Source organism: Homo sapiens, chromosome 2, assembly GCF_000001405.40.
Source record: "Homo sapiens chromosome 2, GRCh38.p14 Primary Assembly".
Taxonomy (NCBI): Eukaryota; Metazoa; Chordata; class Mammalia; order Primates; family Hominidae; genus Homo; species Homo sapiens.
Window position 1 is genome coordinate 230,758,242 of NC_000002.12, and position 23,935 is coordinate 230,782,176.

At 39.1% G+C, this 23,935-nt stretch overlaps 1 protein-coding gene across 5 annotated transcripts in view, besides 2 other annotated features; it reads left to right on the forward strand.

The window, feature by feature from the left end:
* CAB39 (calcium binding protein 39) overlaps positions 1-23,935 on the forward strand; it is a 108,234-nt gene that overhangs the window by 45,400 nt on the left and 38,899 nt on the right. For all 5 annotated transcript variants that reach the window (XR_007076406.1, XR_007076407.1, NM_016289.4 and 2 more), the window contains exon 2: positions 1,718-1,874. Coding sequence is in view for 3 of the 5 variants with exons in the window: in NM_016289.4 (NP_057373.1) it covers positions 1,761-1,874 (114 nt within the window). In the remaining 2 variants the exon portion in view is untranslated. The remainder of the gene's footprint in view (positions 1-1,717; positions 1,875-23,935) is intronic.
* Positions 679-778: an enhancer, noted in NCBI's record as "active region_17248". NCBI's record gives its function as "activates an Ori minimal core promoter by ATAC-STARR-seq in GM12878 lymphoblastoid cells {active_cell/tissue: GM12878}" and the evidence as "EXISTENCE:reporter gene assay evidence [ECO:0000049][PMID:35858748]".
* Positions 16,353-16,647: an enhancer, noted in NCBI's record as "tiled region #14077; K562 Activating DNase unmatched - State 5:Enh". NCBI's record gives its function as "activates a minimal TATA promoter and a strong SV40 promoter by Sharpr-MPRA in K562 cells {active_cell/tissue: K562}" and the evidence as "EXISTENCE:reporter gene assay evidence [ECO:0000049][PMID:27701403]".

Below are 23,935 nucleotides of genomic sequence, written 5' to 3' on the forward strand. Positions count from 1 at the left end.
ACAGTGAGCCAAGATTGCGCTGCTGCACTCCAACCTGGGTGACACAGCGAGACTCCAAAAAAAAAAAAAAAAAAAATCCTTGGATATTTAAGAACCTATGACAAAGGATATGCATTAAACTATTTCTCTTTGGTTAATTTTGTCAAAAAAGGATTTACAAGGTGACAGAAGGTAAGATAGGCAATATTTGGGGTTAGAGATTGGTTGGAACAGTTCACATCAGAACATGTTGAGAAATAACATACTTGTTTATGATTTAGTTGTAGGCTTGACATTAGCATTCATTTGCATGTTTTAAACATTCTTTATAAACAAATATGTAAGTCACTCTATTTCAAACTTAAGGGAAAAACACTCAAGTTTGTTCATCAAATCTTAGGTAAAGCTCAAAAGAAGTGTTATGATACTATGCAATGGATGTATTTTTGTGTTTATATAGAAGGGGAAAACAAAGTGGGGTTGGGGTGTCTGAGAGCCACCTTTTCTTGGGTGTGTGTGGGGAGCACCTTGGGCAGTTAAATATAGGATGTTGAAACTTACAGTCAGAAAACCACTGATCTAAGTGATCCATAAGGTTTTTCTAAAAAGTGTCATCTTTCGGTGTCTGATAGGAGACTGTTTAGTGCCTGTGAATTTAACTACTTCTAGTTTTTTTACTGAAAAATGGTAACTTCCAACATGTTCCCAAGTCACTTCCATTGTTTGTCTTGTTAACTTTGTTTCTTCATAGTGCCTTCTTGGAATAGTTGCATGTTCTCCTTTTGGATGATGTAATACTGTGGTTTATGTGGTTGAAATGTTGTTTTCTACTACCCACAAAAAATTAAGAACTTCTAGAAGTTCATCATCCTCAGGGTTTTATCCAGCGAGTTCTTTCATAGGAGATGGTCAAATCCAGGCAAAAAGAGTACATCTTGACAACTGTCACATAGGGGATTACAGGATCTAATGGGAGATTTTATTCCCCTGTCCAGGCTTCTCTCTAGCTCTGAGACCCTGTGACTGCCTGAATAAGATGGGTGTGCCGAGGAAGTGTGTGCCATATTCAGGGCAGCCCACTGGGGTGCTTAGGAGGAGCAGCGTGAACACCGGGAAAAGAGCATCTGGAGAGACCTAGATAGTAGGCTGTTGCTAGTGCTGTTTGGCTAAACACCCTACCTAACTTTTTGCCTCAGTTGCCTCAGCTGTAAAATAGATACTATCAATTTGATGTACAGTGTGGTGATTAAGGACGCTTTGGATCAAGACAGATCTGAGCTTGTTTGACCACTTAGTACCTTGAGCCTCACGCTCAACCTTGCTAAACTTCACCAGTAAATAGGAGCAGGAGATTGTTAGAAAGGGTTTCATGAAATGATGAGTTCTAGTGCTCAGCATCAGGCCTGGCAGTAGCAGTTGCCCTGTGAGTGGGAGCTGCTGCTCTCTACCTCAGCAGCATCAGTCAGCATGTTCGTCCCCATTTGCGTGGTTAGGAGAGCAATTGATTTGAAGGAAAGAAAAACAAAGTGTTTTGAAAAATACAGTGTTCTGTAATTCTAAGACATCTGTGTATTATCATTTCTTGCATATATTTGTGGATTTCCCTGTTCCTACTGATTTTGAAAGTTATGTAAAATGACTTGCCTAAACACGGGTTTTCTTCCCAGATTAGGATTTAGAAAGTCTGTCTTCCGTTGATCCCAGTGTTTGCTCACATGAACCTTGTGCTGTGTTCTAGGTAGCACAGGCGGAGTGCAGCGGAGGCCCCTGCCGCTGCCGTCATGCCGTTCCCGTTTGGGAAGTCTCACAAATCTCCAGCAGACATTGTGAAGAATCTGAAGGAGAGCATGGCTGTTCTGGAAAAGCAAGACATTTCTGATAAAAAAGCAGAAAAGGTATGGATTTGGCTTTATTTATATTTGAAATATCTTAATTAGCAAATGCAAGACACCTTATATGAGGAATCAGTAAGTCCCAATTTGGGTTTATTTTGGATTTTAAAAATAACATCCAAAAGCAACATATGCTGCTGTTGCAACATACTTTTTCTTCTGTATTTTCGTCTAACAAATAGATTTCTAACTGTTCTGTCAGGTTTTCGAGTTTATTTAAATTGTGTTTATTTCATCTTGAAGTGTTTGATTCTAATTTATTTATTTATTATTACTAATTATTTTTGTAGAGACAGGGTTGTGCTATGTTGCCCAGGCTAGTCTCAAACGCCAAGCCTCAAGCGATCTTTCCGCCTCTGCCTCCCAAAGTGCTAGGATTACAGTTATCAGTTATCTGCTTGGTTGGTTTGTTTGTAAAAGTTTTAGAGCAAGAACAAAAGGAAGTAAAGTATACTTGAAAGAAGGCCAAGCAGGCAACTTGAGAGCTATAAGTGCCACAGTTACCTGATTCTTGAAATCGGTTCTTCCCCCACAATCTTCCTGGGAGGACACCCCTCCTGGTTTTCTTCCTGTATTCAGTGTATCCGTGCCAAATGCCTCCATCTACCCAGTCACCACAGTCCAAAACCCAACTTTCATCCCACTTGTGACTTGCCCTCTCTTCCCTAAAATATAATTTTTCACTAAATCTTGTTCAACTCCCTAAATTGTTTATGATTCAGTTCTGACTTCCATTCCTTCTTGAAGAAGTTGTTCATACTCTTTGTGATTTTAGCAGTAGCCTTCTTACTGCACTTTCTAAAAATCTCTGCTTTACATTTTCAGTGTAGATTCTTCTTGTAACACACAGGATCTTCGTGATCTGATCTTTATTTCTCTAAGTAAATTGTAGAGGTTTAGTGTCACTTATCCAAAATGCTTGGGATCAGAAGTGTTTCAGAGTTTGGATTTTTTTTTTTTTTTACTTTGGAATATTTGCATGTACATAATGAGATCTTGGGGATGGGACCCATGTCTAAATATGAAATTCATTTATGTTTTATATAGACCTTGTATACATAGACTGAAGGTAATTTTATACAATATTTTAAATTTGCATTAAATGAAGTTTGTGTACATTGAAGTATCAAAAGGCAAAGATGTTGCTATCTCAGCCACCAATGTCATAGTCTCTGGTTCTGTGGCATCATCATCATTCCTGACTCTGAATTTATATGCTACCGATAAGCAGTCATTTTCTTACACTTATTCACATGTAAGTACTTAACTGTAAAAAATATGACATACCATTAATAATACCAGGCTGGAGTGTGATGGTACTGGAACTAAGGTGGTACCTTAGTTCAGGGTAACTAAGCAGCATAGTTGTTGTATCACTTGTATCTGTTGTAACCTCTTAGAATGTCATAATCATTATTTGATTTGGGATTTCTGTCATAAGGATTATACTTCAGTGTAGTACGGATGCTTTCAGGTGAGTTTGAGGAGTATACAACTAATTATTCCTACTCTAAATGGTCCTGGCTTCGGTACCTATGAGTTATCATTTCTGTTCTGTCTGTATTTTCCTTTATTGCTTATTATCTTTTGGTATGTGCTGCTGGCTGATCTTAAGCTTACCCAGCTTCCTTGCATTTTCTCATTCTGTTCAATGTTTCTAATGCCCTTTGGACTGGGAAACTAGATTAATTGAAACAATTTATAATAAGACAATATAGATTCTAAGAGAACTTCCTTGGGTAAGGTAAGTGGTACTGTTTTTTGTTTGTTTTTTATTTGTTGTTGTTGTTGTTGTTGTTGTTGTTGTTGTTTTGAGATGGAGTCTCGCTCGGTTAGCCAGGCTGGAGTGTAGTGGCACGATCTCAGCTCACTGTAACCTCTACGTTCCATGTTCGAGCAGTTCTCCTGTCCCAGACTCCAGAGTAGCTGGGACTACAGGTGCGTACCACCATGTCCGGCTAATTTTTGTAGTTTTAGTAGAGACGGGGTTTCACTATATTGGTCAGGCTGGTCTCGAACTCCGCACCTCAGGTGATCCACCAGCCTCAGCCTCCCAAAGTGCTGGGATTACAGGTGTGAACCACCGTGCCCAGCTGGTAAGTGGTATTGTAAACGCAGGATTCAAGTACATTTCTCATTTTATTGGTCAATGGGGATATAAAAATATGAAAAGTTTAGCTCCAGAAACTAGAAACAAAGTGACCTCAAGAAGTTAGAGGGGACTTTTGACTGAACCACATTAACATCTACTAACTCAGAGGGTAATAGCACATAACTTGACCTCCCTCTCACAGTTGGACATCTTCAACTTTAGGAAGCACTCAGCAGTCCTGATAGCCCTACAGGCTTTGCACCAGGTGGAGGCAGCTAACAGCCAGCAAAGAGCAGAGGTACCCAAGACTGGCCTCTAGAGGCAGTCGGGAGAGAGCAGACCCCACAGAGTAGACATGATACATGTCTGCTGGAACTGCCCTCAGTGGCTATTCCTTAATCCTTATCTTAAAACTGCAAATTGATGAAAGGATAATGTGTATGTCCCATAAATTAAAAATGGTTCATCTTTTGTCTGTGGCTAAATATGTTGTCTACTCATTACATTCATTCTATTCATCAGAATCGTACTGAACACCTAAATGCTGGGTCAGATTTTAGGCACTGGGGATATAATACTCAATAAGATGAACAAGGTCTCTGCTCTTTCGTAGCTTCCGTTCTAATTAAGAAAGCTGGACAGTAAATAAGTAAACATAGCTGAAAAAGAATTTCAGTTGGCAGCAAGTGCCACAAAAGCAATAGAATGTACTGATGTGATGATAGAGCACATTTCTTAAACTTTTGGGTCTCAAGACCCCTTTTATACTCTTAAATTATTGAGGACCCAAAAGAGATTCGTGTAAGTATAGGTGTGTTATCTATTGATGCTACCCTATTACAAATTAAAACTGAAAAATTTAACAATATTTATTAATACATTTAAAAGTAATAAACTCATTACAAGTTATAAATAATGTGTTTTAATGAAAAATAACCATATTGTCCAAAACAAAAAATTTAGTGAGAAGTGTAGCATTGTTTTAAGTTTTGAAAATCTCCGTGTCTGGCTTAATAGAAAACAGCTGGCTTATCTTAGCTATGTTTGTAATCAAACTGCTCAAACATTATTTTGCTTTAAGTATATAAAGAAAATGTATACTTAAAGTTGGGAGTGGTGGCTCATGCCTGTAATTCTGACACCCTGGGAGGCCGAGGTGGGTGGATCACTTGAGGCCAGGAGTTCGAGACCAGCCTGGCCAACATGGCAAAACCCTTTCTCTACTAGAAATACAAAAATTAGCCAGGCACGGTGGCACACGCCTGTAATCCCAGCTACTCAAAGAGACTGAGGCACAAGAACTGCTTAAACCTGGGAGGCAGAGGTTGCAGTGAGCCGAGATGGTGCCACTGCACTCCAGCCTGGGTGACAAGCGAGATTCTGTCTCAAAAAAAAAAACAAAGACGAGAAAAAGAAAACCTGGTCTCACAGCTGTGTAATTAGAAAAAAGAGCAGTATTTTAATAGCCTTTCAGATAATGTAAAATATTTAATACCATGCAATTGGTGGTTTCTTGATTGCATTACAGAACATTAAACTACATGAATGAACTTTTTATACTCTGTACTTTGAACGAAACTTTTACCAGTACATGATTTTATAACATGTTTTGGTTGTTCAGAAAGTACAAATGGTGGCTGGGCATGGTGGCTCACACCTGTAATCCCAGCACTTTGGGAGGCCTAGTCGAGCGGATCACTTGAGTTCAGGAGTTCGAGACTAGCATGACCAACATAGTGAAACCTTGTCTCTACTAAAAATACAAAAATTAGCCGGGTGTGGTGGCACGCACCTATAGTCCCAGCTACTCAGGAGGCTGAGGCAGGAGAATTGCTTGAACGGAGGAGGCAGAGGTTGCAGGGAGCCAAGATCGTGCCTCTGTACTCCAGCGTGGGTGACAGAGTAAGACTGTCTCAAAAACAAAAAAAAAACAAAACAAAGAAAGTACAAATGGTCCCTGACTTAAGATTTTTCAACTTTGCAATGTTGCAAAATAGGTATACATTCAGTAGAAACCATACTTTGAGTACCCATACAACCATTCTGTTTTTCACTTTTGTAACAATATTCAATAAATTACATGAGATATTCCACACTTTATTATAAAATAGGCTTTGGGTAAGAGGATTTTGCCCATGATAGGCTATTGTGTTCCAAGCTCATTTTAGGTAAGCCATGCTAAGCTGTGATGTTCTGTGAGTTGGGTGTGTAGTACATGCACTTTTGACTTAACAATATTTTCAACTTTTGATGGGTATATCTGCATGTAGCTCCATCATCAGTTTATGAGGAGCATCTGTGTTGGATCACTGACATATACAGATCTCCCAGATGTTGACACATTATACAGATTATAAAAATTAACATTTTTAAATAACACCACTGATCTCATTAGAAGAGTCTTAAGTATTGGGATGTGGTCAAGCTTATTCATGATCTAGTCAAATTTCAGAATTCAGATTTGGCAACAAATATAGTTGGTCGTTTTCCTTGAAGTGACAGGTTCATTTTATTCATTTTAGAGAAAATAACTGCCAGATAATTCAAGTCTGAATAGTGTGTCTGTCTGTCTTCCAATAACAAAAGCAGTTAGTTGAACTTATAGCTGAAATAATCACACAAGGGCTTTTCTTTAAGATAACCATTCTATAAGGAGCCAAAGGTACTTTATATGTACATGCCATTTGTTAACTCCAAGTGTTAAAAATATTGTATGTATATTCAAAGGTCAAGATTTAATAAAATTAAATTTTTACTGCTTCAGGAACATTCCTAAGTTGGACCTTTTTTTTTCCTTTTTTGAGACGGAGTCTCGCTCTGTCGCCAGGCTGGAGTGCAGTGGCGCAGTCTTGGCTCACTGCAGCCTCTGCCTCCTGGGTTCAAGAGATTGTCCTGCCTCAGCCTCCCAAGTAGCTGGGACTACAGGCGTGCACCACCATACTCAGCTAATTTTTTTTGTATTTTTAGTAGAGAACAGGGTTTCACCATGTTGGCCAGGATGGTCTCGATCTCCTGACCTCGTGATCCACCCGCCTTGGCCTCCCAATGGACTGACTTTTTTTAACTGAGTGCACGGTGATGAAGACTGCAATAACTGCTATTAAAGTTTGGCGTCACTGCCTTTGTTCATGCTTGGTTCATGATGGTGTCAGCACCATCAGTATAAATAGCAATACAGAGGGAGGAAGCACATGTCTTATGAAAACAGCCTTGACCTTACAGACGCTTTGAAAGGGTCTTGAGGACCTCAAGGGTCCGCACTTTGAAAGGTACTATGATAGTTAAAAGGCTGTGTATGAGAGTGGCTGCAGGTAGGGAGAATGTCCTAATTTAGGTAGGTTATGTAGGGAAAGTCTTGTTGAGAAGGTGACATTGAAAATGAGTCTTGAATGATAGAAGGCAAGTTTAGTCTCTGATGCAATCCATATCATCTGCTTGACTAAATGAGTGATTTTCAACCAGGGGCAATTTTGCCCTGAAGGGGACACTTGTAATGTCAGGAGACATTACAGGTTGTAACACTAGGGGAATACTACTACTGGCATCTAGTTAGTACAGGCTAGAGATGCTGTTAAACAGGGAATGAATAGCTCCCCACAACAAAGGGTTATCTAGCCAAAAAAATGTTAACAATGCTGAGATTGAGAACTCCTGCCCTAAACCAGCATTGAACAAGAATAGACATTTCGCTATTAGGATAAACAAAACAAAGAAAAACATTTGAATTTATTAAAAATAAATTTTAGTTCAAAGCAAGGCATTTCTGAAGAGCAGCCCATGCAAATTACTTATGCTGAAATAGTTTAAGACTAGGAGGGAAAAACCCTGGAATTTCCAGTTCACTTTCTTATCAGGATTCGAAAGGAAGTAGCAACTAATGCAAATAACGAAGAGAGTACTGAGACCTGAAAACAATGGAAAGATGAAAATCCATTACTAATTGAAAACAGTGAAAAACAACTGATGTCATACTGAAAATCTGATGACTATAAACCCAGGTGCTTGCGACCTGTTGAGCATTGTTCTGGAAATTCTAATCAATGCATAAAGAAGTGGTTTAGAAATAAAGAATATACCTATTGCAAGTAAAGAGGGGAAATTATTGTAGAGGTATTTATAAACATTTACAAAATACAAGATAATTAATGGGAAAAATGAGAGTTTATTAGGAGAGAGAGAGACTAGGAAGTACTACAGTCTTTAAAACAACCAGATCTCGCATGAACTCACAGTGAGAACTCTGTCATTACCATGGGGAGAGCACCAAGCCATTCATGAGGGATCCACCTCCATGATCCAAACACCTCCCACCAGGCCCTACCTCCAGCACTAGGGTTATGTGTTTTCTTGGGACAGGGTCTCACTCTATCACTTAGGCTGGAGTGCAGTGGCACGATCATCGCTTGCTGCAGCTTCCACCTCCCGGGCTCAATCAGTCCTCAGCCTGCCAAGTAGCTGGGACTACAAGCATGTGCCACCATGTTTGGCAAATTTTTCTATTTTTTGTAGAGACCGAGTCTCACAATGTTGCCCAGGCTGGCCTTGAACTCCCGGGCTTAAGCTTCAGCCCAGTTGGCCTCCCAAATTGCTGGGATTGCAGGTATGAGCTGCCATGCCTGGCCTGGGGGTTACATTTCAGCATGAGATTTGGAGGGAACAGATATCCCAATCATATCACCAACCATATCTAGAAAATGTAATTTTACAAGAAAGTAGCTCATTCACTATAGCAGCAAAAAAATAAGTATAAGATGTCCAGGAACATTTTCATCAGGAAGTACGCTGAACCCATATGAAGAAAGCTCAAGGATGTTGTTCAGAGGTACAAGAATTACCTGGCCTATGTTATTAGAAGTAAATATGGAATATAGTTAAAATGCCATTTCTTCCCAAATCATGCTTAAAGCAATTCTATTCAGATCACAGCAGGATAATTTTGAAGCTTTACAGATAGAAGTTCTACTCTGTTTTGAAGCAAAATGCATACTTCAAAACCTGTTCCACTCACATTCTTCATGCTCATCATTAGCATAACTCTATCCTTTCCGTTTTTCAGGCCAAAAGTCTTAAGGGTCACCCATGACTATTTTCTCACTCCCCAAATCTATCCACTTTATCTGGAGAAAAAAAAAGTCCAGAATCTAATCCCTTCTCCCCATTTTCCTTGTTCCCACTGAGCTGTCCTTTTCTCTGCCCTGGATTACTGTAGTGTCCTGCTCACTGCTTCACTGGTCTCCCTTGGTTTCCCTACAACCATAGTGATTCTTTCAAAACATGAGTCAAATAATATATTCCTTAGAGTAAAAGTCAAAGTCCTAACAGGGGCCTAAAGTAATTTCTGCAGGCAAATCCTGTAAGGCCTATTTTTATCAATCTCGTGAGCTAAGAATGGTTTTTACATTTACAGAGTTGGTTAAAAAAGCAAAGTATATGAGGCAGAGACCTTATATGGCCTGCAAAGTCTAAAATATTTACTGTCTATTCCTTTACAGAAGAATAAATGCCAACTCCTGCCCTGAGCAATGAGGCCCATGACTTTATGATCTTGTCTCCTAATACTCTTCACCACATTGGTCTCCTTTCCTCATGCACTCCAGTCATACTCCTGCCTGTTGGAGACCTTTGCATTTGGCTTTTTCCTTTGCCTGGAAGGTTCTTTCCCTAGTGCTCTATTTGGCTTACCTCCTATATTTTTCAAGTCTTTGCTCAAGTGCCATTTTTCACCCAATCCTCTATTTAAAATGCAACCCTACCGTGTGGCATTCCTCTTCCCCCTTATCTTGCTCTAGTTTCCTGTGCACTATACGTAATGATATATGCTTGCTATTTTCCCCTTGTTAGACCATCAGCCTTTCAAAGATAGAGCTCAACAAATAGTTGTATTTATTGAAAATGGAATCAAAAACAGAGTTACTAATAACATGAAACACAGTCATCTTGTTCTCTTCTGAATTCTTAATCTTATCTGAATTAGTTAAAACAGATATTGCTAAGACTTATAAGAGTTTATATATTGAATTTGTGACTGAGGAGAGAGTACCATAGCTAGGTATGTTCTCTGGATTCTGTGATGGTGGCCAACTACTGTATTATATTTCTTTTCAGTGCTACTGCCCACAGTAGTAGTAAGATAAATGTCCTTTCTCAAGAGATATTTACTGGTGGTCCTGGTATTGTCCATACAGGTTTATGTTCATCATCTTCCCTGTAGTTAAGGGTGATCAGGGGACATTTTTCCCTATTAGATAAATAATCATAACTGATGGATGTGATGATTGAGTCACTGTGAGCTTGTTGGCAGGGTTTTGGTGATCTAGGACAGTTCTCAAGTCTAAGCTGACATTCATTGTGATTAAGTTATATGAAGAGAATTAAAGGGTTTAATTAGCCAAGTTTGTGAAAGACAAAAATTGGAGGAGAATAGCACATTCTATGGGTGACTAAATTAGGCACCAAAAACGGGTCAATTAGGTGGAGGTGGTGGGTCAGTGGTTAGAGGGAATGGTTAATATTAATTGACAAAACACAGTACAAATAAAAGTATGACTCTGTATGTAAAAAAACAGACCATGTGTCAAAAAGAAACCAGAATCATTAAAAACACTTGATTAATTTAAAAAGGCAGAAAAGGGATGAAGGGAATTAAATAACAGATGTGGTATAGAAAACAAATAGTAAGATGATAGACTCAGATGTACTGTATCAGTAATCACATTGAATATAAATGGTCTGAATAACCATTTAAAAAACAGAGATTGTCAGATTGGATGAAAGAATCCCTACTATATGGTGCCTATTAAAAAATGTACTTTACAGTTAGCAACTTAAAATAGGTTAAAAGTAAGAAGAATGGAAAAAGATAAACTTTGTTAACACTCATAAAAAGAAAGCTGGAGGGGCTGTACTAATAGCAGACAAAATAGACTTCAGAGCAAAGAATATTACCAAGGGTAAAGAAAGTCATTTTATGATAAAGTAGGGGTGAAATGTTCCAACAGATATAATAATTCTAAACATTTATGCACTTAGTAACAGAGTTTCAAATTAAAGCAAAATAAAACCTGATAGAACTGCAAGAAGTAGTCAAATACACAATTAATAGTTGGAGATTTCAGTACCCCACTATCAATAATTGATAGAACAAGCAAGCAGAAAATCAGCAAGGATTTTCTAGGTAGACCAGAATGGTACTGTCAACCAACTTGACCTGATTGACATTTATAGAACACTCAACAACTGTGGAACACACCTACACATTCTTTTGAAGTTCACATGGAAGATCTACCAAGGTAGACCATATTTTGGGTCAAAGAAAAAGGTCTCAGTACATTTTAAAGGATAAAGTTATACAATGGATGTTCCAAGACTGCAATAGAATTAAATTAGAAATGAATAACAGAAAAATCCTTAGAAAATCCCAAAATATTTAGGAACTAAATATCGTACTTCTAGATAACTCATGGATCAAAGAAGATATTAGAAAGTAGTTTGAGGCTGGACATAGTGGCTCATGCCTGTCATCTTAGCACTTTGGGAGACTGAGGCAGGCAAATCACTTGAGCTCAGGAGTTGGAGACCAGCCTGGCCAATGTGGCAAAACCCTGTCTCTACTAAAAATACAAAAAAAAAAAAAAGGGCCGGGACTCGGGAGGCTGAGGTGGGAGGATCGCTTGAGCCCAGGGGTGGAGGCTGCAGTGAGCTGAGATCACACCACTTGACTCCAGCCTGGCTGACAGAGTGAGACCCTGTCTCAAAAAAAAGAAAGTAGTTTGAGTGGAATAAAAGCAAAAATACATCTCAGAATTAGTGGGATGCTGCTAAGCTTTACTCAGGGAAATTTCTAGCACTAAATATCTATGTTAAAATATATTTAAAAAGAAGAAAGGTCTGAGTTTCTACCTTAAAAACTAGAAAAACAAGAGCAAATTAAATACAAAGTAAGCAGGAGAAAGGAAATAGCTATCAAAACAAATCAGTTAAATAGAAAAAAAAAATTAAAAGATCAAGAAAATTGATAAACTCTAGCTAAGACTGACCAGGAGGAAGAAAACACAAATTCCCATTATCTGGAGTGAGAGATTCCTGTAGTGACATTACCACAGATTGTACAAGTTAATAGGGAATATATGAACAACTGCATGCCATTAAACTCAACAGCTTAGATGAAATGGACAAACTCCAAAGACACAAATTGCCAAAGCTAACTCAAGAAAAAATAGATAACCTGATAGCCCTATGTAGTTAATACCCTTCCTTATCACAGTGAAGACTCTAGGCCCAGATGGCGTTGTTAGAGATTTCTACCAAATGTTTAAGGAAGAAATAATACAATTTCTATGTAAACCTTTCCAGAAAATTTAAGAGAAATCATTCTTAACTCATTCTGTGAGGTCAGAATTATAATCATCGCCAAATCAGACAAAGGTATTACAATAAAATAAAACCTACAGACTAATATGTCTCACGAACATAGATGCAGAATTTCTCTATTTTAGCAAATTGAATAGTAGACCAAGTGGGATTTATTCCTAGAATGCAGAGCTAGTATAACATTACAAAGTTAATCAGTATAATTCACTATATTGAAAAAGTACATGTCAATTGATGAAAAGGGGAAAAAAACCAGCATCTATTCCTGATAAAAAAAATAATCTCAGCAAACTAGAAATAGAGGAAGGGAATTTTCTCAAGCTGATAAAGGGCATCTGCAAAAATCCTACAGCTAGCATTATACATATGGTGAAAGGCTAAGTCATGTTATCTCTGAGATCAAGAAGACGACAGGGATATCTACTTTCACCACAACTATTCAACTTCGTACTTGGAGGTTCTAGCCTATGCAGTCAGGCAATAAAAATAAATTAAAGGCATTCAGATTGAAAAGAAAGCAGTAAAACTTTTGATTTGTAAATGACATGATCATCTACATAGAAAAACTGAAGGAATCTACACAACTAGTAGACTAGTAAATAAGTTTAGCGAGTCACAGGTTATAAGGTCAATATACAGAAATCAGTTGTATTTCTGTATAGTAGCAATGAACAGTCCAAAATTGAAATTTAAAAATACCTTGTATTCAAGAGTGTTAGGTGTAATTGGGAAAAAAGAATGGAAAAAAAGAAAAAGAAAAAAACTAGCATTTAGAATAGCATCAAAAAATATGAAATGCTAAAAATACCATTTAGAATAGCATAAAAACATGAAATAGGGATAAATCTGACAAAGGAAGTGAAAGAGTTGTACACTGAAACCTGCAAGATACTGCTAAGAGAAATTAGCCCAAATAAGCAGGAGATACATGTTGTTCATGGGTTGGGAAACTCAATATTGTTAAAATGTCACTTCTCTCCAGATGTATCTAGAGATTCTGTGCAATTCCAGCAGGATTTTTAAATCAAAGAGTTTGTTCTAAAATTTGAATGGAAGTGCAAAAGACCTGGAGTAATCAAAATAACTAATTAAAACAAAGTTGGAGGGCTCACACTGTCTGATTTCTAGACTTAAAAAGCTACGGTTGTTAAAACAGTGTGGTGTCAGTGCAAAGATAGATATATTAATGGAACAGATTGGGGTGCAGAAATAGACCTACACATGTATGGAACATTGATTTTTGACAAAGGCATAAATGCAGTTGTGCAGAAAGAAGGTAGTTGTTTCAACAATTGGTGCTGAAACTATTTAGTAGGCAGAAAGATAGGACTCAGACCTCATACCATATTTAAAAATTAACTCAAAATGGATCACATAGCCAAATGTAAGACCTAAAATTATAAAGTTGCCAGAAGAAAATCTTTGTGACCTTGGGTTAGGCAAATAATTTTTGGATGTTATGCAAAAAGCACAATTCATTTTAAAAAAAATGATAAATGGAATTCATAAAAATTAAAACCTGCTCTTCAGAAGACACTGTTAGAAGAATGAAAAAGACAAACCACAAACTGGAAGAAAGTCTGCAAAGCATATATCTGATAAAAGACTGCATCTAGAATATATAAAGAATTCTCAGAATTTAACAGTTAGAAACAATCCAGTTAAGAGTGGGCAAGATACTCATATATGCATTTCACCAAAGGAGATAGGCAGATGTCAAATAAGCCCTTGAAAAGATGTTAATCATTAGGAAATTGTGTAGTAAAACCATAAGGAGATTCCACTACACAGCTATTAGAGTGGCTAAAATGGAAAATATTGACTATACCAAATGTTGGCAAGGATACAGAGCAGCTGGAACTGCTTGTGGGAATATAAGATGGTATGACTACTTTGGAAAATAGTTTGGCAGGTTTTTTTTTTTTTTTGAGACGAAGTCTCACTCTGTTGCCCAGGCTGGAGTGCAGTGGCACAGTCTCGGCTCACTGCAAGCTCCACCTCCCTGGTTCACACCATTCTCCTGCCTCAGCCTCCCAAGTAGCTGGGACTACAGGTGCCCACCAAGACGCCTGGCTAATTTTTTGTATTTTTTAGTAGAGACGGGGTTTCACCGTGTTAGCCAGGATGGTGTCGATCTCCTGACCTCGTGATCTGCCTGCTTCGGCCTCCCAAAGTGCTGGGATTACAGGCGTGAGACACCACGCCTGGCCTAGTTTGGCAGCTTTTTAAACCAAACTCGAACCAACCATATGATCTAGCCATTTAAGTATTTACCCAAGAGAACAAGAAATATATGTTCATGAAAAGACTTTTGCTTAAATGTTCATAGCGGCCTTATTTGTAAATGGCCCAGACGTGTGGATAAACCAACTGTAGTACATCCATGTAACAGAGTACTACTCAGCAATAAAAAAAAAAAAAAAAAAAAACTATTGCTGTATACAACAGCATGGATGAATCTCAAAGTGATTATGTTGAACAAAAGAAGCCAGACTATAAAGAGCACATAGTATATGATTCTATTTGCACAAAACTCTAGAAAACAAAGCTAATCCATAATTACAGAAAGCAGATCAGTGGTTGCTTTAGCTTTGATAAAGATGTTTAGGGGAAGGGTTGCATGGTAGAGGGAGGGAACCACAAAGGAGCATAAAGCTTTTGGTGGTTACGGTTTTGGTGGTTACAGAGGTGTTCACTATCTTGATGGTTTCATGGGTGTATGTGTATATATATATATATATGTGTGTGTGTGTGTGTGTGTGTGTGTGTGTGTGTTACATTAGGTACTTTAAATATGTGGAGTTCATTGTATGTCATTTATAACTCAGTAGTGAATAAAAAAAGACTGTTTATGTACCAACTGGGGCAGATGTGGCTTAGAAACCATAAAGCACCCAGAAAGGCCATTGGAAGGCTAGATTGCAATACTTGAAATACACTATTGAAATTCAGCGATTATCTTCTACTCTGTATAGGCAAGTCCACACTTGAGGATGTAGAGAAACTGCAGTGTGCCAAGAGAGGAGTGACCAGGCTGACATAGAAATTCAAAACTCTACTGTGAGGAACAGTTGAATGACCTCAAGATGTGAGGTACAGCCTAGGGAGAAGATTTGAGCAGAGTAATGTTGTAGGGCGGATTTGCTCTTAGTAAAATGTATTTGGGAGACCATATAATGTAACAAAAGGATTCGAACTGATCGTGGCAGGAGGTAGAATTCAGACCCATGAGTGGAAATAAAACAAGAAGTCCAATTTTGTCTTGATATTAGGAAAAACAGTAAGTGGAAGCTGACTTTTTCAGAAGACAGCAAGTTTTCTGTTTCTGAAGAGGTATTGACATGGACTAGGTGACCACTTAGTTAAGTATTCTAGAAGGAATTCAAGCTTTGCACTGTTGACATATCCTTACATCGATATACCACCATACTTTGCAAGGTGCCTTTGTATAGAGTCCCCCATCTTATTTTGAGATAGAATTGATTCTGGTTTCCCGTGATCCAGATGAAGAAAGCTGTTATTTACTAGGCTTATTACTTTGACTCATTATATTAGAGTCAAAGACGGAATTCACACCTAGCTCTGCCAAATCCATGGTAAAATTATGCCTTTTTCCACTTTATTCATTATGTCCCTGGGCTTTTTCCATCCATTTCTTGTGATCTCACAGACAAAATGATAAATATAACATTTGAGTGTTTATTCCTTTATTTGTTATATGTTGGTATTTGTATTTGTTTTATATGGTACATAGTTACCACATTAAGAATTGTGTATGATACAAATAGATTAGTCTCTTAGGAGACTAATTCTTTTAAAAGAATTCATACAAAACTAATTTTCTTACATTTTAAAAAAGCGGTTAATGTTACCATCCTTATTTTTAGGTAACTAGGGGCAGGGGTGGGGTGGGACTTAGTCTTTCACTGCCAACAACCAAACAGATGTGGTGTATGTGGGGACTATTTACGCACTCTTCGCCCACCACATGCTGTATAAAGGAGGTATGGCTGCCTTGCTCAGCTTATAGGTGGTTCCCTTCCTTACGATGAATGCTTGTGTTCACAGGGTTGAATAGCTATATTCACTCATTTCATGAGAGGAGTAAGTTTGCTGACATATTTTAAGAGGGGGGAAAGGGAGTAGCCTCTTCATAGCATGGCCATTTAACAGTGACTCATGGTTACTAAACTTGTTTACAGTAATCTTGGACACCAGAAGGTTATTAATAGACTTTCCTTAGTCCATGATCATTCAGCTTAGACTATGCAGACATTTTCTTTAGTAAAGAGGTGGGGGTTGGGGGAGGTAGAAAGCATTTATCACTGGAATTAATGTGATAATAGAATTGTTCTTATTATCAAATACTTGGCACCAACAGTATCTGTCAGTTCACTTTTAGATTCCATTTCACATCTTGGTCTTCATTTACTTTGATATAGAACTTTCTTTTTTCAACAAGGTCATTTAATCTCTTCTTGTAGAATGAATTGATATTTCAGGCAGTAAATATAAATGGGTAAATATTTAGAGGACTCTTGTTTAAAATGATTCTTTTGTTAAAGATTGGGTTTAAAGAAACTCAAAAAAAACAAAAAATAATAATTTAAGCCTCATCATTCCCCCCAAATCTGAGCTCTTTAAGGCATTTCTTTTTTTCTTTTTTCTTTTTTTTTTTTTGAAACAGACTCTAGCTCTGTTGCGAGGCTGGAGTGTAGTGGTGTGATCTCGGCTCACCGCAACCTCCGCCTCCCGGGTTCAACTGGTTCTCCTGCCTCAGCCTCCTGAGTTGCTGGGATTACAGGCATGCGTTGCCATGCCCAGCTAATTTTTGTGTTTTTAGTAGAGACATGGTTTCCCCATGTTGACCAGGATGGTCTTGATCTCCTGACCTGGTGATCCTCCCACTGTGGCCTCCCAAAGTGCTGGGATTACAGGCATGAACCACCACACCTGGCCTCTTTGAGGCATTTCTTAACAATAACTAGTTATATGTAAGTTAGAATCAATTCAGTTATGTAAACTAATGAACACAGGTATGGAAAATTTTGCTAAATAGATCCCTTCAAAATTATTTCTAAAAAGATGACTTAACAGTGGTGCGCATTGGAGTTAACGTTTTCCTCATGCATGGTTGCCTTTGTTGTTGTCTACTGTCTTTACTTGCATCATTATCTCTTGCAAGAGATCCCCAGTTTGATTGAATCCACAGACATTTTAGTGCCTCTCTGTGTGGGCAGATAGGCATAGGAGTCAAACCTTGTCCCCGTTCTTAAAAAAGTATATAATCCAGTAGAGGAGATACACATGTAAATAATATAATATAGAGGGACTTGGGGGCGCAGATAAAATTCTGTGGGAACCAAGAGGATAAAGCAGTTCCTACGTCTGTCAGAGACAGATACAGAGATGACAGGTTTGAAGTGACGTTTAAGCTGATTTTTAAGGTTTTTGGCAGGCAAAGTGTGAAAGGGAACAGAATTTGAAACAACCTATGGCATGTTCAGAAAACAGTGACAAGTTCAGTGTGACTTTAAGAGGTGGAGATAAAGAGGAATGGTAGGAAGTAAGACTAGAGAAACAAGCTTTGGTAGAATGAAAAGGGCCTTATAGACAACCTAAGGGTATACTGAGGGGGAGTGCAAGAGGTCTTACGCTATAGAAGTCTTATGTTGCCTTACTTTGTTTTGTTTATTTTGAAATTAATTAATTCACAGGAAGTTGCTGAAATGAGTACAGGAGAACCCATGTACCTTTCACCCATATCCCCAGTGGTAACCTCTCACATAACTATATACAATATCAAAACCAGAGCATTGACATTGGTATAATCCACAGGGCTTGTTCAGATTTCACCAGTTTTACAGTTTGTGTGGATATGCATATAGCTCTATGCAATTGCATCACACTTATCTGTTCTCCAAGTCTATACATTTTATTACTTCAAGAATGTTAAATAAATAGAATCATATAGTGTGTAAACTTTTGAGATGGGCTTTCTTCCACTCAGCATCATTCCCATGAGATCCACACAAGTGGTTGTGAGTGTCACTAGTTCATTGCTCTGGAGAAACAAGTAGGTCATGGTTCCAGGTGCTCTGTCTCACTTCATCCACTTTTTTTCTTCCCCCCCCGAGATGGAGTCTCGCTCTGTCACCCAGGCTGGCATGCGGTGGCACGATCTCGGCTCACTGCAAGCTCCACCTCCTGGGTTCATGCCATTCTACTGCCTCAGCCTCCCCAGTAGCTGGGACTACAGGCGCCTGCCACGCCCGGCTAATTTTTTGTATTTTTAGTTGAGACGGGGTTTCACCGTATTAGCCAGGATGGTCTCGATCTCCTGACCTCATGATCCGCCCGCCTCAGCCTCTTAAAGTGCTGAGATTACAGGCTTGAGCCACCGCACCTGGCCTTTCATCCACTTTTTTAGTTTTACTTTATTCTAACTAGTATATTGGAATTCTACATTGTGTAGTAGGGAAGTGTGTATGAGTGTGTGCGAGAAAGATCTTTGTTTCCTTCATAGATTCTAATTTATTTCTGTATCTATACAAAGTCATGTTCTAATGATGTATATGATGTATGTTCATTCCCCCAAAAAGCAGAAAATACAAGACTATAAAGAAAAAAATTAAGTTTATCCTTAATTCAGTACCACGTGAAATGACTACTGTTAACTTGGTGGGGATTCTCATTCATATTCTAGCTTGTTTTCTCCCTCTCTCTGGGGCAGATAAGTAAATGAGTATGGGGTCATGCTGCTCTGTAACCTGTTGGTGTTTTTTTTGTTTTTTTTTTTTTAATTTTAAATTTTAACATCTTTTCATGTGCATATAGATCTCAATTTTGTTTTTTTTTTTTTAAATATGGAGTCTTGCTCTGTCACCCAGGCTGGAGTGCAGTGGCATAATCTCAGCTCACTGCAACTTCTGCCTCCCAGGTTCAAGCAATTCTTGTGCCTCAGCCTCCCAAGTAGCTGGGATTACAGGTACCTGGCTGATTTTCATATTTTTAATAGAGATGGGGTTTCACCATGTTGGCCAGGCTGGTCTTGAACTCCTGACCTCAAGTGATCGCCACCTTGACCACCTCCCAAAGTGCTGGGATTACAGGTGTGAGCCACCACCCCTGGCCCTCAATTATTTTTAAAGCCTGCCGTGGTTCTTCCATTTTATGGGTACGTAATGATTAAACTAGTTCAGTGGGATAACTTTTACTTCTAATTCTTTGCTGTTGTAAGTAACACTGCATGTACTTACCTTTGTGTACTTGTCTGTTTCCATAGGGTAAATTCCTGAAAGTATAATTCACAGGAAGTTGCAGAAATGAGTCAGAGGCCTTGCACCTTTTAAAACTCTTCAATAACATTTTGCCAAATTGCCCTCCAGTAAAGTTGTACCAATTTATTTTCCTACCAGTGGCGTATCTAAAAGCCTTTGCCTCTGATAAGAAGGAAGAATATTTTATCCTTTTAAGATTGTTACTATTACTATGAAATAGAATCTTTTGTAAGGTTTTTAATGTCTGACTTAGCCATTTGTATACTTCAGCATGTTACTATGTTTGTCTTTAAGTGTGCTTTCTATATTGAGGTTAGAATTGCTACTAACTACTAAAAATTGGGGACAGTGAAGAGGGCAGCCCAGTCTTGTATCTCACCAAGTAAAGTCCTGTCCCTTCATGTGGAAGTAGCCTTCTTGTCACCTTGTTTCCTAACGTAAGGCCGGTTTGGATCTACTGAGTGCTTGAGTCCAGAGGAGGAGTGTTGGTAAGGGCTGTGAGTACTTCAAGGACATTGCATAGAAGCACTAATGGGTATGTGAGCTGTCTTCTCGAGTCTTCTGAAATTGTACTTTTGTATCACTACTTTTTATCAGCAATTGCCTCTAGTGACAGTAAAATAGTGCACTGATAGGTACCGTGGGAATATTGGATTTAAGTCAAGAGAGTTAATACGAAACCTCCTGAGGTTTTGGTGATCTCTGAAAAGGCCATTTGTACTAATGTTTAGCTTACTAATTGCTTATTTTCCCACCCTGTTTTATTTTTTAATGGGAAAGCAGGCAGTGAAAAATCTCATAGCCTTAGTGCTACTTGAAGAGGTTATTATGGACTCTATCCTTAAAAATTTGAAGTCCTGTTACACGTTACTTAACAACAGGGATACATTCCAAAAAATGCATCATTAGGCGATTTCTTCCAGCCTGTTGCTCCTAGGCTACAAATCTGTGTAGCTTGTTACTATAGCGAATACTGTAGGCAGTTGGAACACAATGGCAAGTATTTGTTTATCTAAACATAGAAAAGGTACAGCAAAAATATGGTATTGTATCTGTGGGACCACAGTTGTCTCTGTGGTCTGCTGTTGACCAAGACGTTATGTGGTGCGTGACTATAGTTACCTATGTCCTCACCCTGGGAGGGAAAGTTTAGTTTCTGATACTGTTATTAGTGAGGTGAGCATTAGGTGTGAACTTTGGGATACTGGTTACTACTTAAGTTGATCCTAACACTTAAATATTTTAACTTTAAAAAATTATTAAATGTAATTAAAGATGAAGTTGTTATCATTTGATCATATGTGGAAGTCAGGCTCCATAGTTTAGAATTAATATGCCTGGCCCCATGGGACATAGGGACTTCACCTCTCAACTCAGAGCCTTGATCTGAGAAGCTTTGCCAAGCCCCAGACCCTTTCCTCTGTGCTGTGCTCTTTTGGAGCCTCCACACTCCCACCACATACGGCTGCTCTGTACAGCCACACAGGATGAAGCACTTCTCAGAAGCCATAAGGAAACAGCTAAGAACTGAAACAAAACTCTGTACCTCCCTCCCAGACGAGTCAGCAGTAAGGGATGATCCGCATCTCTTTCTAGGCAAGTGAGTGGGCTTGTTATAAAGGGGGGCTGTTCTCTTATGCCTTTCTTCTTGACCATGATCTATAAAACAGTTGGCTACTTTTAATAAAGCAGTCTGCCCATGAAAAGTAATATGAGGCTAACTGGTACATAGAAATGTAGCATCTGTGTCTTGGAACACCATGTTCAACTGAGGAAACTTCCCAGACAATTCAGTCAGTTAACAAAATCATCAGGTCATTCCATGTGTAAATTGCCATCATAAGCGCTTTCCAAAGCCCTTGAATGTGTTAGGGAGATGAGAGGTATGTGTGAAAGGTTATAGCACTTACAAGGTCAGCAACTGAAATAAGGTCACAGCTGCTGTAGGCATCAGAGGAGGAGAGAGTCATGGGAGGGAGGAGAGTCTTCCTGGATGCAGGAGCTCTTAAGAGTGGAAAGAAGGAGTGTGAGCATTCAGGCTTTTATGTTAGCTTGAGTAGAGACAGAGATGTCCAGGGTGAGAGAAGGAATGTAGATGACAGGGCAAAAGAGAATTGAAGACCTTTATTTGGAGTTTGAGATCTTAAAGAAATGGAATGGGTCTTAGGGGTCATCTGGTCCAGTTCCCTTAATTATCGGATGGTCCAGTAAGACCCAACAGGTTTCCATGAGGCCACAGAACTGGCACAATTGCACAGGGGGTACCTGAGTCAAAGCTAACCTCCTTTTTGTTTGGGAGCCCTTTCTCCAGTGCACAGAGAGAGCCATCAGCCTTGGAACTAAGTAGGATGCCCCTTACCTGTGAAGAAAAGGCAAAAAGATTATTGATGAACTTATCAGACTTACAGAATGGTTTAGAAGAGTGCCTTTCACCCAGCCTCCCTAAATGTTAACGTCTTTTATAACCACAGGGCAATGATCAAAATCCAAAAAATAACATTGGTATAATACTATTAACTAATGCACAGGCCTTTTTCAAGTTTCATCAGTTGTCCTACTCATGTCCTTTTTCTGAACCAAAATCTAATTCAGGATCACACGTTACATGTAAGGAGTCGTAACATCTCCCTAGGTCTCCTTTAATCTGAAACAGTTCCTCAGTCTTTCTTATGACTTTTATGACCCTTGGTACTTCTGAGAAATACTAGTCAGCTATTTTATAGAGTGTCCCTTGATTTAGGTTTGCCTGATGTTTCTTCATGATTCAATGTCGATTATGCATTTGCAAGAATACCACAGAAGTGAAGTACCCTTTTCATTGCATCAGTTCAGGAGGCAGTGATGTCAATAGTCTCATTACTGATGATGGTCAGTAACATCATTTGGTTAAGGTGGTGTCTACTGGAAAATTACTATTTTTCCTTTTGTCATTAATAAGTATCTTGGAGCCAGGCTCAGTGGCTCATGCCTGTAATCCCAACACTTTGAGAGGCTGAGGGGGCTGATAACTCGAGCTCAGGAGTTTGAGACCAGCCTGACCAACATAATGAGACCCCATTGCTACAGAAAATTTAAAACGTGGTCAGACATGGTGGTGTGTACCTGTAGTCCCAGCTACTCGGGAGGCTGAGGTGGGAGGATCACTTGAGCCTGGGAGGTCAAGGCTGCAGTGAGACATAATTGCACCACGGCATTCCACCTGGGCAACAGAGCTGGACCTGATCTCAAAAAAAAAAAAATTATCTCGGGGGAACTGAGCATCTCTTCTAAAAGTTTCTCAGGTGATTCTGAGTGTGTTGACAAGTTTGAGATAGGATGCAGAAATACATCAAGATGTAGTGAAGAAGTTGAGAATGTTTTAATTAGAAAGTCTTATGTTAATATAGGAGGAGTGAAGCTAGATGTTCAGATAAAGGAGTAAAGAGAGACTAATGGCTCTTGAGGAAAGTGGAGCCGTCTTGAAATATGTGCTGCTGGGAGTTACTGGTTGGAAATCAGCCCGGTTTAAAGGATTGTTTCTGAGCTGCTTTGAAGTCGAATGACATGGTGTATTGGTGAACCGAATGTGCACAAGTTCCATCACTTTTTCTACAGTGCTCAGAAATTTGGGAGCTCAAGTAGAGAAAGATTTGAATAAAGCACATTTAAGATTATGTAGGGGAGCCAAGAGACCTTGAGCTGCTCGCATGAGTGGCACTGAAATGTGCAGGCTTGGCAGGACCTGGAATGTGGTCATTAAGGGTTCAGTGGATTAGGTGACATGATGATTCAGCAGCTTGAAAAGGATACAGTGTTTGGAGGAGCTGTAAGTGTGAATACCTTACTCAGTAGGTGTGAGGGGACCAATGGGGTGGTAGGAGATGAGAAGGATGTGGTTACAAGGGCAGAGAATATATTGACACAATGCCTGCAGGCCAGAGGTGGGGCCCTAGGCATAGTCCCTAATGCAAGCTGCTATGAAGGGAACCAAGTCAAAACTAAACAAGAACAACCAAGGTTTTGTGTTTTGTTTTGTTTTTTTCCTTCTTGAAACACAGTCTCGCTCTGTCACCCAGGCTGGAGTGCAGTGGCTCAATCTCGGCTCACTGCAACCTCTGTCTCCAAGGTTCAAGATAGTCTCGTGACTCAGCCTCCCAAGTAGCCAGGGCTACAGGCTCATGCCACTGCACCCAGCTAATTTTTGCATTTTTTAGTAGAGACGGGGTTTCACCAAGTTGGCCAGGTTGGTCTCGAACTCCTGACCTCAGGTGGTCCGCCCGGCTCGGCCTCTGAAAGTGCTAGGATTACAGGCATGAGCCACCACTCCCGGCCACAACCAAGTT